The 12,410-nt window shown below is 55.8% G+C and overlaps 1 protein-coding gene across 43 annotated transcripts in view, besides 2 other annotated features; it reads left to right on the top strand.

The window, feature by feature from the left end:
• ARHGEF10L (Rho guanine nucleotide exchange factor 10 like) overlaps positions 1-12,410 on the top strand; it is a 184,441-nt gene that overhangs the window by 114,918 nt on the left and 57,113 nt on the right. For 19 of the 43 annotated variants that reach the window (XR_946686.4, XM_024448061.2, XM_006710728.1 and 16 more), the window contains 6 exons: positions 3,969-4,114; positions 6,196-6,210; positions 6,483-6,664; positions 9,536-9,651; positions 10,210-10,337; positions 11,850-11,950. Coding sequence is in view for 39 of the 43 variants with exons in the window: in XM_024448061.2 (XP_024303829.1) it covers positions 3,969-4,114; positions 6,196-6,210; positions 6,483-6,664; positions 9,536-9,651; positions 10,210-10,337; positions 11,850-11,950 (688 nt within the window). In the remaining 4 variants the exon portion in view is untranslated. Of the gene's footprint in view, positions 1-3,968; positions 4,115-6,195; positions 6,211-6,482; positions 6,665-9,535; positions 9,652-10,209; positions 10,338-10,885; positions 11,630-11,849; positions 11,951-12,410 lie in introns of those variants that run through there. The other 24 variants (XM_047424111.1, NM_001438940.1, NM_001438944.1 and 21 more) reach the window with 6 other exon arrangements.
• Positions 1,138-1,791: an enhancer, noted in NCBI's record as "H3K27ac-H3K4me1 hESC enhancer chr1:17955985-17956638 (GRCh37/hg19 assembly coordinates)". NCBI's record gives its function as "activates a minimal SCP1, AML or CMV promoter by ChIP-STARR-seq in primed H9 embryonic stem cells {active_cell/tissue: H9 hESC(primed)}" and the evidence as "EXISTENCE:reporter gene assay evidence [ECO:0000049][PMID:30033119]".
• Positions 1,792-2,443: an enhancer, noted in NCBI's record as "H3K27ac hESC enhancer chr1:17956639-17957290 (GRCh37/hg19 assembly coordinates)". NCBI's record gives its function as "activates a minimal SCP1, AML or CMV promoter by ChIP-STARR-seq in primed H9 embryonic stem cells {active_cell/tissue: H9 hESC(primed)}" and the evidence as "EXISTENCE:reporter gene assay evidence [ECO:0000049][PMID:30033119]".

Consider the following 12,410-nt stretch of genomic DNA (forward strand, 5'->3'; position numbering starts at 1 on the left):
CCAAAAGACTTGCAAATGAGTCTGTAGAGGAGCCTGTTTTTAAAGCACAAGGTCACCTCACAGAGTCACCTGTTGGTCACTGGAGTCCCTCTTCTTCCCTCTCAGCACATGACATGAACTGCCTGGCTCTGTGCTGGGGTCTCTGGGAGGTCCCACACCCCAGCCCCCCTGTTCACCTACTGGAGGGTAGGGGAGGGCTGGGATAGTTTAGGCTGGGGTGCCCAGGCCCTGGGCACATTGCAGGACTGTTCTTTGGAGAACGGATACTGTGTGAGGTCATAGGGAGAGGTTCAAATTTTCTGGGGAATAAACTGGGAGCCTCTTGGCTCTGTGGGGTCCTAGAAGCAGAACTAAGGCCTATGGCTGGCTGTTCCCAGGAGGGAGGTTTCAGCAGCACGGGGTAGACCTTTCTAAGAGTCCAGGAAGGAGTACCCAGAGGGAGAGTGGCCCTTTCCATGTGTGCTGCACTTTACAGTATAGAATGCTGTCTAACCTGCATCAGCATCTTTGCTTTCCACCCCATGCCTGTGAAGTGGGGCAGGGACAAGGCCTCCTGTAGGGTCCCCTGCAGTGCCAAGCTTCAGGCAACCCACATCTTAGGACTCTGTTGCTTCAGGCCAAATTCAGGTTGCAGGTTGTGTTGTGGCCCACACAGTATTTTATTCTATTTAATTTAATTTTATTTTGAGACAGGGCCTCATGCTGTTGCCCAGGCTGGAGTACAGTGGTACAATAACGGCTCACTGCAGCCTTGAGCTCCTGGGCTCAAGTGAGCCTCCTGCCTCAGCCTCTTGAGTAGCTGGGACTACAAGCACGAGCTACCACACCCAGCTAATTAATTTTTTTTTTTTTTTTGTAGAGATGGGGTCTCACTATGATGCCCAGGCTGGTCTCAAACTCCTGGGATCAAGTGATCCTCCTGCCTCAGCCTCCCAAAGTGTTGGGATCACAGGCATGAGCCACGGTGCCCGGCCCACACAGTAGTTTTAAGAACATGGCAGTAGTTGCCAACATTTAAAAATTGAGAGAGATCCTATAAAATTCAGACTTGTGGGTCTCCTGGGAGGGTAGGAAGAGCTGGCTCACCGACCCACCTTCCCACGTGGCACCAGCCCCCGAGTGGCAGCTGCCCACTTCCCCTTGGTTCCTACCCACCTTTCCCACTGATGTTACCTGCAAGCCCCTAAGGCATCTGAGTTTATTTTACCTGCTCCAGGAGGATTGGGCTGGGGAAGACGAGATGGGGAGGGGACAGCGCCCTCTCCTGGGGATGTCCCCATCCACGTGGCTCAGGTTGGGCATGAGGGGCAGGGTCACTCTCCACCCCCTGGTTCCAGGCAGGACTAACTCAGCCATCCCCCACACAAGCCTCGAGTTTGGAATGTCTCGGGAGAAAAAGCCTTCAGCCCCGCCATGACCACCCGTGCTGGCCTTTGCGCTCAGGAATCTTCTCCTCTCCCCACCTTCGGCTCCCTCTTCGGTGACCAAGAGGCTTTCTCTTGCTTTGCCTCATACACCTGTGCAGCCACAGTGGGGAGAGGCCTCTTGGGAGGAGGAAATAAATTCCGTAGTGGTTGGGAAGAGCCGTTCTGCCCTCTCCTGCTCTGTGAGGTGGGCCCTGGCTGGAGGTAAGGGAGACCTCTTTGATGCTGGGCAAAGGACTAGAGGCTCTAAGCTTCCATGTCTCCATTTGCTGGGTGAGGGTAGGTTGGACCATGTGAGATGTTAGGAAGAGTGTGGTGGAGGCCGCACCCTGGGCTTCCCCCTCCAGGGCCCTCCCTGGACAGTCCTGGCCAGTTCTGTGACCTGTTTAGTGATGTCCCTATCACCATCACCCAGGGAGAAGCAGAAACGAAACTGGGTGTAACCCGAAACGGAACCATGCCAGCTGTTTCAAAATAGCCTAGGCAGGAGCCTCCAGAGGGCCGTTTGTGCAATATCCTGGTTTTCTTTTTCTTTTTGTTGGTTTTCATCTGCCAAGGGGGCAGCGCTGACTGCCAGAGCCCACGGGACTTTCCTCTTCCAAGTTTTGGGTCATGGCACATTTGGCAGCCCTTGGGGCGGGGGGCCCTGCTGTCTTCAAGGTCCGAGTAGTGGTCTCTTGAGTTGGCGTTTGGTTTCCTTGTGGAAATAGTGAGGCGGAGCCTGGCCTTAGCAGCTGTGGGGGACCCCAAGTCCTCCTGCATGTTAGGAGCGGTGGGGCCTCCCCTGGCTCCTGTCACACTGTGCACTAGCTGCTCAATGCAGGGAATGGTGAACGTGGCCTGGCTCTGTCCTGTGCTGTCAATCAACAGTGGGTGGGTCTCAGCGAGTCACTTTACCCCTGGAATCTCAGTTTCCTCACCTGGGCAATGGGGATGGCCTCAAGGACCGCTGAGCTGATTCAATGAGATGTGGAATATTAAGAGCCATCCTCAGTGCCTGGCACACCCTGGGCATTTGGTCCCACTGGGACTTTTGGTTGTGTGCCGACTTGAGAGAGATGATGCTTTGGAGAACAACAGCATTCTCTCCCGAGGAGGCTCGGGGTGATCTGTCCTTTTCTCTCCTGGGGATGCCTGGGGGTGATCTGTGTTTTTCTCTCTGGGGAGGCTCAGGGTGTTCTGTCCTTTTCTCTCCTGGGGATGCTCGGGGTGATCTGTCCTTTTCTGTCCTGGGGATGCCCGGGGGTGATCTATCTTTTTCTCTCTGGGGAGGCTCAGAGTGATCTGTCCTTTTCTGTCCTGGGGTTGCCTGGGGGTGATCTGTCTTTTTCTCTTTGGGGAGGCTCAGGGTGATCTGTCCTTTTATGTCCCGGGGAGGCTCGGGGTGATCTGTCCTTTTCCCAGACAGGATGGGGAAGGAAGGGGAGAGTAATGGTTGTCGTCAGAGTCACGGGTTTTGGGAATGAATTTTGCTGAATATCCTCCCTCCCTCCCAGAAAAAAATCCCCTTTAGAAAAAAGACGTTTTCCCAGGGTGTCCCTGGATGGGTTGGTGGCCCTGACACTAGCAGGGGGGGTCTTGACATCCAGCCTGAGGTTGGCAAATGCCTGCTTGGATGCCTGGGGTGTGAAAGTCTTTGTCCTCAGAGGGTGGTGTTATTGACTGGCAGGTCTGTTCCAACTCTGTCATGAGGCCACCTAAGAGGCGAGACAGGCCAAGGCTTTCAACAGGTTGGGGTGCAGGATGGGGTCCCCTGCACAAGGCCACGCCTGCTCCACTGTGAAGACCATCACAGACAGTAGTTGTCTATGGAGCACACATACAGGGCCGGCCTCTCAGGCCATGACCTGTGTCATCACACGTGACCCGTGTCATCACACGTGACCTGTGCCATCACACATGACCTGTGCCATCATACATGGCTGGTGCCCAGAAGGGCCCCATGCTTGCTTTCATGTTCTGCCATGGTCATCTTGAAATTCATAGTCACTTTGAACAAGAGCCTGTGTTTTCGTTTTGCACTGGACCGCAAGAGTCATGTAGCCAGACCCGGTCACATGTTCATTACCTTGTGTGATCTGAGCAGTAGAGGTATCTGCCCCCACTTGGTAGCTGAGTAAACTAAGGCTTGGACATGTGAAGTGACCTGCCCAAGGGCTTCACAGCAGGAGTGGGGATGGGGGCAGAGCCACCTCTGTAACTCCAGAGCTGTGTCCTTGGCAGTGGCAATCAGGCAGAATCCCTACAGAGAGGGGCTGGCAATGGCTGGCTCACCTGAGAAGGGGGCACTGGCTGCTGGGCCCACACGGGTGCTGGTGAATGCTCAGTCTCCCCATGGCCTCCGAGAGGAGGCCCCGATGTGTGGTCCTCTGGTCTTCCTCCCCAGTGCATCTTGTCACCCAGGGATGGAGGGAGTGGCTTCATCTCCTCCACCTCTCCCAGCCTCAGTCTCCCTTTCTGCACCATGGGAGGATTCTGGGTCTCCGGCGCGGTAAAGCCGCCGGGCCGCGATGCTGATGCTGACCTTCCCTGCCCCTCCTCCAGCTGTTGACCTCAGGCCAGCGGCAGCTGCTCCTGTGTGAGACGTTGACGGAGACCGTGTACGGTGACCGCGGGCAGCTAATTAAGTCCAAGGAGCGTCGGGTCTTCCTGCTCAACGACATGCTTGTCTGTGCCAACATCAACTTCAAGTAAGTGGGCCTGGGTTGGAGGGGGCAATCACCCCTCCCTGGAGACCCCATCCCGCCCTACTCCAGTCTCTTGGCCGGCCGCACTACAGTGGGACCCCATGTGAGCTTGGTTTAGGCTTCCAATATTCCTCTCCCATCCCTCTTGCCCTGCTCTGCCACTGGTCCCCAACGCTGGGAAGTACCTGGAGCAGTCATCGGGGGCAGCCCTCAGCCTCGGGCACACAGCTGTCCATGGTACAGAGTTGTTTGTTTTGGAACTCTGCAGTTGGTGACTAAACAGTGGTTTTGTCCACATTGAAATTCAAGAGATTCTTCCTTGTGTCTACCCCAGATCCCTGCGGCTTTAACTCAAATCTGTTTTGCTCTGGCCAGATTGCAGAATTTCTCAGTGTGAGCCTTTGCCTTTCCCCCACAGACCGGAGCATCATCATCGGCCCAGAGGAGCCTGGTTTGCTGGTTCTGGGCCGGGGATTGTGGAAATGCCCAAAGCCCGGCTGCTGGGCTGTGCCTGGGAGCCGGAGCCCTGGTGTGGGGTGAGGGTGAGGCTTTAGGCCAGAGCCTGAAGATGTGGCCCATCAGTTGCTTTAGGCTCCTGGGTATCTTATGTTTTACTAACACAGGGAGCCCACACCATGGGTGAGACATAGGAGAGATCTGACATTCTGGGGCCTGGCTGCCTGAGGCCACGTGGGCCTGGCACTGGGGCTTGGGCCCTGCCATTCTCCAGCCTTTCTGCTTTGCCCAGCTCACCTGCTCGCATCCCCTGCTTGGTCCTGCAGGGGACCCTGTATCAAATACTCCCTGAGAACTTCAGCTGTGGTTTTTCTAGCCAGGCTCTTAGGAGAACCTCTGCTCTCAATATTTGACAAGACTTTATTTTATTTTATTATTTTTTGAGATGGAATCTTGCTCTGTCTCCCAGGCTGGAGTGCAATGGCATGATCTCGGTTCACTGCAACCTCTGCCTCCTGGGTTTAAGTGATTCTTCTGCCTCAGCCTCCCGAGTAGCTGGGATTATAGGCATGTGCCACCACACCTAGCTAATTTTTTTTTTAATTGTATTTTTATTAGAGAGGGGTTTCACCATGTTGGCCAGGCTGGTCTCAAACTCCTGACCTCAGGTGATCGGCCCGCCTCAGCCTCCCAAAGTGCTGGGATTACAGGCGTAAGCCACCGTGCCCCACCTCGACACCACTTTAAAAAGCATCACAGAAGCAATAGTATGGCTACCATCACCGAAATCCAGGAGGGAAACAATCACCTCAGTGGAATGTGAATCCCAGCATAGCTCTCCCGCCTCCCAGCTGAATCAGTTCTAGGCCCTGTACCGAGTCAGCTTGGGCCTTCCTGGGTTTGGCCACAGAGTAGGTTTGGGGATTTTCCATGGTTACCGATCACGAGTCCTGGAAGGGGACAAGCAGGGCTGTTTCAGGACCTGTGCACTCATTCACCATCCACCCATTTGTCCACCCGTCTATGAATCCATTGAATGTAGTCCGAGACCTGGCTCTGTGCCAGTTCACACCTAGAATGAGATCCAGCCCCTGCCTCCGGGAGCTCAGGGCCTGGTTGGGGACTCAGGCAAGGAAGCCTCTGTCACACATGGGTCTGGGCAGGGCTTATGGCTGACCCATTCATTCATTTACTCACTCACTCAATCAAAGAAGGTAATTCTTCAGTCCCGTTTATATCCTGGGCACCGTGTGGTGCCGGCGGTATGATGAATACCCTCTCTGCCTTCATGTTGCTCTAGCGCAAAGTGCAAAGTGGGGTGCTAGTGGCCCGGTTTTGGGGAATCAGTTTGGGTGATTTGGGCTGAGTCACTTCACTTGACTGAGGATCAGTGTCCTTGTCTGGGATCATCTAAGCTTCCTAGCGGGGCTGTTGTGAGACCCAGAGATGAAGGAAGGCCCGCTTCTGTCCACACCTGGCCTCTGATGCCCTCATTCCCCGCAGGAGGCTGTCTCTCCTTCTATTCCCGATGCCCAGCCCCATGGCTGGCCCCCAGCGGGGTCACAGCCCCCAGATTAGCCACTCCATTGTAATAACAATCTCCCTTTCCTTCTTGTCTTTTTTCCCAGGCCTGCCAACCACAGGTACGTGGTTCAGGGGGCTCCGGGGCTCTGGGGCTCTGGGGCTCTGGGGCTCTGGTGCCATGTGATTCTGGATATGGGGCTGGGGCCTGGGCGCCTGGTGCTTCTACCCTGGCGAGGGATCCCTGCTCTGCCTGGCTTGGTTTTGGTCTGAGGTCTTGCGCTGGGGCTGCGTGAAGCCTGGCTGAGCTGGTGTGGAGGAGCAATGCCCTGGGCCAGCCCTGGGGCAGGGTGGCTGCAGCCTCTCCAGGGCCTTGTCCTCTCTGTTCCAACAGGGGCCAGCTGGAGATCAGCAGCCTGGTGCCCCTGGGGCCCAAGTATGTGGTGAAGTGGAACACGGCGCTGCCCCAGGTGCAGGTGGTGGAGGTGGGCCAGGACGGTGGCACCTATGACAAGGACAATGTGCTCATCCAGCACTCAGGCGCCAAGAAGGCCTCTGCCTCAGGGCAGGCTCAGAGTGAGTACCCCCTCTCTGTGCCCTGCGTTCGTCACCCTCGCCCTCACCAGCCACAGCCTGGGCTGCTCCTACCCAGGCTTGGCCCTGTCTTGGGGACCCCTACATAGGCTGATGGGTGGCTTGGCCAGGAAGCTCTTGCTGGTTTTGCAGCCCCACCCTGGACCTTAATGCAGAGCCATGGCCTCACCTGGGTGTGCGCAGGTGCATCTCCCAATCCACACACTTTGCTCCACCTTCACATTGGCTGCCACACACTCTGTCCTGCTGTGCCAGCTACCTGGCTGCTCTTCCTCCCTCCTCCTACCTGGGCCCCCTCCCTGTCCATCCTCTGCCCATCCCCAGGGCTGATTCTTCCAAATGCAGGTCAGATCAGTGCACGTCATCCCGCCCCAGTGGCTTCCCATTGCCGGTCCTGAGGGTGTACCACCTGCCTCACTCACCTCCCTCTGCCCCTTCTCTCTGCTGCAGCCATGCCAGCCCCTCTGGGCTCCTGGATGGGCCATGCTCCCTCCCACCACGCCCTCTCCAGCCTGTGCCTTTTGCCAAGTACTCTCCTGCCATCCTGTTTTTGTCTCATCTGCTCTTGGCTCAAATGGCACTTCCTCAGAGAAGCCTTTTCTTATGCCCTCATGCTGGGCCAGGTCGCCCCTCCTGTGCTCTCGAGACCTCTGGTACATTTTCCCCTTTATGGGTGATTGATCGGTTGATGTCTCTCCTCTCAGCCTGGCTGCAGCTCTGTCCAGGAGCCTAGGGTACGGTGGGCATTAATAAGTGTTCCTTGAATGCATGCAGGATGCTAAATTGCAGCAGAAAGGAACCCTGGTGCCCGAGGCATCTTCTGTGGGTGAGAAAGGCACTGGGGTTTCACTTCCCCCTCTGTCTGCTGTCTGACCCAGGAGGCTGCCTCATGGGCCACCCACAATTCTGGAAATTCTGAGGGAGTGATTGCACCACCTACTCTTGCCGTCTGGGTGCTGGTCCGTGACAGCTGTGCCCACTTCCAGATGCTGTCTCTTTCCTCAGCTCTGCTGGGTAGGAAGAGTCCTCTGCCCCACGTGCCTTCCTCGGAGGCACCTTCTGCCCTGGCTCAACTGCACTCCCTCCCCGCCGCTTGGGGCACAGGGTTCCTTTCTGCTGGTCATGCGGTCTAGCATCCTTCATGCACTCCAGGGACGCTTAGGGGATCCCTCCTTCGGTGACAATGATGTGTCTGTGGCCGCATTCCTCAAACCAGAGTCACGTACTGCCAGACCCCTTCGAAAGGGGAAAGAAGTTCTTGTGGAACCCTTCATTATATTGTTATTCAAATATATACAAACGCAAAACTCCCTGTAATCAACTCCTTCTGCTTATAGCCCTTGAAGAACCATAAAACCAACACCAAATCACAAATTGAATAAAAATAAAGCTACAAAACCATAACATTCAAATTAACAGCATTAATGTAATGTGATGGATGATGTTGTTTTGCTGAAACCAATTTGTTCACAGTGTGGATGTGGCTCAGGCCCTGGTAGAGCAGGTTCCTCTGCGCTTTCGTGCCTGTGCCACAGGGTGCCCTGTGGGGATCTGCATTTCCCATGAGCTCCCCAGTTTGGGTCACTGCAGAGCCCCTCTGATGTGAGCACATTGTCCACATCCCAAGCTCGCCATGCTCTTTGCTTGTTACCAGGTGACCATTCAGGTGCCATAGTCCATGGAAGCCTTGATATCAGGCAGCAGAGTGTGGCTTTAAACTCATTCCACACAGGTGACTCAGATAATTATCTAAATGAAAACCCCAAATAAGGCTTCCCCTCCACTCCCCTGGGGCTTCATAAGACCTCAGTGTGCAAAACCACGGCCTAGAGAATACAGTCCAAATTCCTAGCCCAGGGGCCTAGCGTTCAAGGCCTTCCCCATCTGGTCCTCCTGGACCCTCCTGCTCTATCTCTACCTGCCACCCCCTACCCCCATCTCACCCTTACTCCATCTGTATCATCACTGGTGATCTGGGCCCCCTCACCCCATCACTGTCCCACCACACTGATATCTTTCTCCCCACCACCTCCTACCACCCACCATTGTTAACTGACTGCTTCCTCCGCCACTTGTCCTGCCAAGGTCATAAGCTCCGGAAGAATGAGGACCCTGTCTGTCTTGTGTACTGCTGTCTCCAGTCTCTAGCATGGAGTCTGGCACACGATAGGTCCTCAGGATGTCTTTGAACAACTTGCTGTTCATGGGCTGCCTCAAGCCACAGTGCCTTTGCACACGCTCTTGTCTTTCTCTCCTGGCAGTGCCCACCACACTTCCAGCCCTATGCAGGCCCCTCCTCTCTCCCAGGCACAGCTTGCTCTTGGTCTTGTGGTCTCATACAGCCCTTTGTACAGACTGACTATGGCCTGGATCTCAGGTGTTAGACTTTACTCTTGAAAGGATCTGGCTTCCCAGCTAGTCTGGGCGCTCTGGTCAGGGTAGGAACTGGATGTTACTTTCTGGAACTCTTTCTTTTTTTTTTGGGTTGGAGTCTTGCTCTGTCACCCAGGCTGGAGTGCAGTGGCGTGATCTCGGCTCACTGCAAGCTCCGCCTCCCAGGTTCACGTCATTCTCCTGCCTCAGCCTCCTGAGTAGCTGGTACTACAGGTGCCCGCCACCATGCCCGGCTAATTTTTTTCTTTGTATTTTTTAGTACAGACGGGGTTTCACCGTATTAGCCAGGATGGTCTCGATCTCCTGACCTCGTGATCTGCCTGCCTCGGCCTCCCAAAGTGCTGGGATTACAGGCGTGAGCCACCGCGCCCAGCCTCTGGATCTTTTTTGTTGTGAGCAGATGCTTGGCTTCTTGTTAGCGCCTTCACCTGTGCCTGAGTTGGTCTCTTCTCTGCCCAGATAAGGTGTACCTCGGCCCCCCACGCCTCTTCCAGGAGCTGCAGGACCTGCAGAAGGACCTGGCCGTGGTGGAGCAGATCACGCTTCTCATCAGCACGCTGCACGGCACCTACCAGGTACGTGGCCTGGCCTGACCTTTTTGGCCTGAGCTCCCCAGTGTGGGCAGTGCCTGGATTCAGAAAGCTGAGTAGGGAGGGGCTCCTCTCCTGGCCCATGTCCCCGATGTGCTCCTAGCTTCTGAGCTCCTGTTGGCAACTGTCGCTGCTGAAGCTCCATGTCCCTGCCTGGAAGTCTCTTTTGCGGCCGCTGGTTCGGGCGCATCCTCTGGTTTGGGTTGAGTGGAGCCTGGCTGTGGGGCCTTTGTTTGTTCTCTGCACAGTGGCCATTCCGTTATGTGGCCCCTCCTGGGCCTCTACCCAGTGTGGAGGGGAAGCTGGCTGCGACGGCATGTCCCTCTCAGAGGAGGGCTCCAGGTGGGATCTGAGCCCAGGGCTGGGAAGCCTGGGGCATGGCGAGTTGGCCTCCTGCGTGGGGCTAAATGTGCAGCCTCAGTGAGGCTCCAGGACTTCTTCAGTTTCTCTTCCTCTGGGGTGCTGTGATTCCTATAGGATCTGGTGTGGCTTTTGGGGAGCCAGTGTGCTGTGTGGTGACCTCATTGGCCTCCTGAACCCTAGAACCTGAACATGACTGTGGCTCAAGACTGGTGCCTGGCCCTGCAGAGGCTGATGCGGGTGAAGGAGGAAGAGATCCACTCGGCCAACAAGTGCCGTCTCAGGCTCCTGCTTCCTGGGAAACCCGACAAGTGAGAGGAGGGGGTCTTGGAGGGAGGGCTGCTGCCTCTGCTGGGCTTCCAGTGGAGCAGGGGATCCGGAGAGGGTACCTGGAGCCCTCTTATTTGTCGAGATGCCATGGTGGGAGTGGATATGTAGGCATCGTGGGCCATGTCTGGGATAGCATCTGGCACGCAGTAGGTGCTCATGAAAAGACTGTGGAATGAATGAATGAATTAATGAACAGCCTGGTCATGTCCTGGATAAGCCTGGCCCACTGTTAGGATACTCAGACACTCTGCCATTGGTCAGTTCCATTTGCGCTGTGTCCTTTTCAGTCACTTCAGCCTATCTAGGCCCCCAGGCCAGGCCCTGGGTTTCCTCTCTCTGGACCCAGCCTCCCCCCAGCACCACCTTAGCCCCAGAATGCCCACCACAGGAGCTGTGCACAGTAGACCCCAACTGAGGTTTGTGGAACTGATGACAGCCATAGCTGCTCGGCCTGGCAGAGACAGGGAACGGGATCTTTCTGGTCCTCCTGAGGCTTTGTAAGTTGGGTCTTTTTATTTCCATTTTACAGATGAGGAAGGTGAGGCTCAGAGTTTCAGGAGAGGCTGAAGGCCACATCGTGAGAGACAGAGCTGGGTCCTGATGAGGTCTGACTCTGAAGCCCAGGCCAGTGCAATGAGGGGGCTCAATGCCCAGGTTTTGGCCTCCAGGGTGGGGTGAAGGTGGGGATAGAGTGTCACAAGCACAGTGGCTGCAAGGAAGAGAAGGTTGGAGCACTATCATTTGAGGTAGGACCATGGGCTCAGTCCCCCAGGGGACCATGTGTAGGAGTCAGCAGCTTTGAATCTGCCGCCTCCCTGTTGAGTGGCCTGTCCGTCTCCCTTCCTCCATCTCCCTTCTCTCTGCCTCTCATTCTCCACGTGCACCCTAGAGGCTTGTGACACTGCCCTGCCCACCTCCCAAAGGGCTGGGAAGGCCCCCACTGCTCTGAGGTGAGAGGACAGCGTGGTGACAACAGCAACCTCTGGTTGCCCCAAGCTGGTGCTTAACCTGATTCATTCATTTCTTCATTCATTCCTGTGTCCACTCAGCAAACATTTACTGAGCAACTGTCCCATGCCAGGTGCTGGGAACAGACCCAAGTGAGACCCATTCCTCCCTCTAGAGGCACGTGGTCAGACATGTAAGGTGTCTAAGACCTGTGGACAGCTGACCGCTGACCAGGTGGAGTCACAGCCTGCAGAGGCTCTGCCGGGCACAAAGCCAGAGGCTCCTGGAGCCAGGCTGGGGAGCGTGGCTCAGCCACCCTGGCCAGGTACCTCCCTCTGGGGGTCATTGTGGGCGGAGGGATTCCTCCCCCAGGGGACCGAGGCTTTGCCAAGCCACTGACCTCTTTGGCCACGTTTTGGGGATGCTCTGACCAGACCTCCTTGATCTCCAGGGCGCGTGGGTTGGAGGAAGTACTACGTGACAGCTGGGGGAGCCTGGCCCTTGTGTGGGTACTCACACATCCACTCTAACCCTTCTCACCACAGGTCCGGCCGCCCCATTAGCTTCATGGTGGTTTTCATCACCCCCAACCCCCTGAGCAAGATTTCCTGGGTCAACAGGTTACATTTGGCCAAAATCGGACTCCGTGAGTATAGCCCCAGGGAGAGTGCCTCAGGGGGCAGGGGTGTGGAACGGGGAGGTTTGGGGTGAGTGAGGGTACAGGATGGGTGTTCGGGGTCAGCGGGGGGCAGGGAGGCTTCTGAGTGGGAGGGAGGTGGTGCGGTGGAGAAACAGCTGGGGCCAGAGCCGGAGGCTCTGCTTTGTGACCCTGGACAAGTCACTTCCCCTCTCTGAGCCTCAGCTTCCCCATCCAGGAATTGATGGAACTTGACAGAAAGTAAATTAGTGGTTGCCAGGGACCTGAGAGGAGAGGATAATGGAGAATGACTGCTAGACTGCTAGGGGTTTTGGTGGAGGTGATGAAAATGTTCTAAAATTAGATGGTGGTGATTGCTCAACTCTGTGACTACACCAAAAATCAGTGGCGTGTGCACTTTAAAAGGATGCGTTTTATGGTAACTGGATTGTATCTCAATAAAGCTGTT

This window comes from Homo sapiens, chromosome 1 (assembly GCF_000001405.40).
Source record: "Homo sapiens chromosome 1, GRCh38.p14 Primary Assembly".
In the NCBI taxonomy this organism is placed as follows: Eukaryota; Metazoa; Chordata; class Mammalia; order Primates; family Hominidae; genus Homo; species Homo sapiens.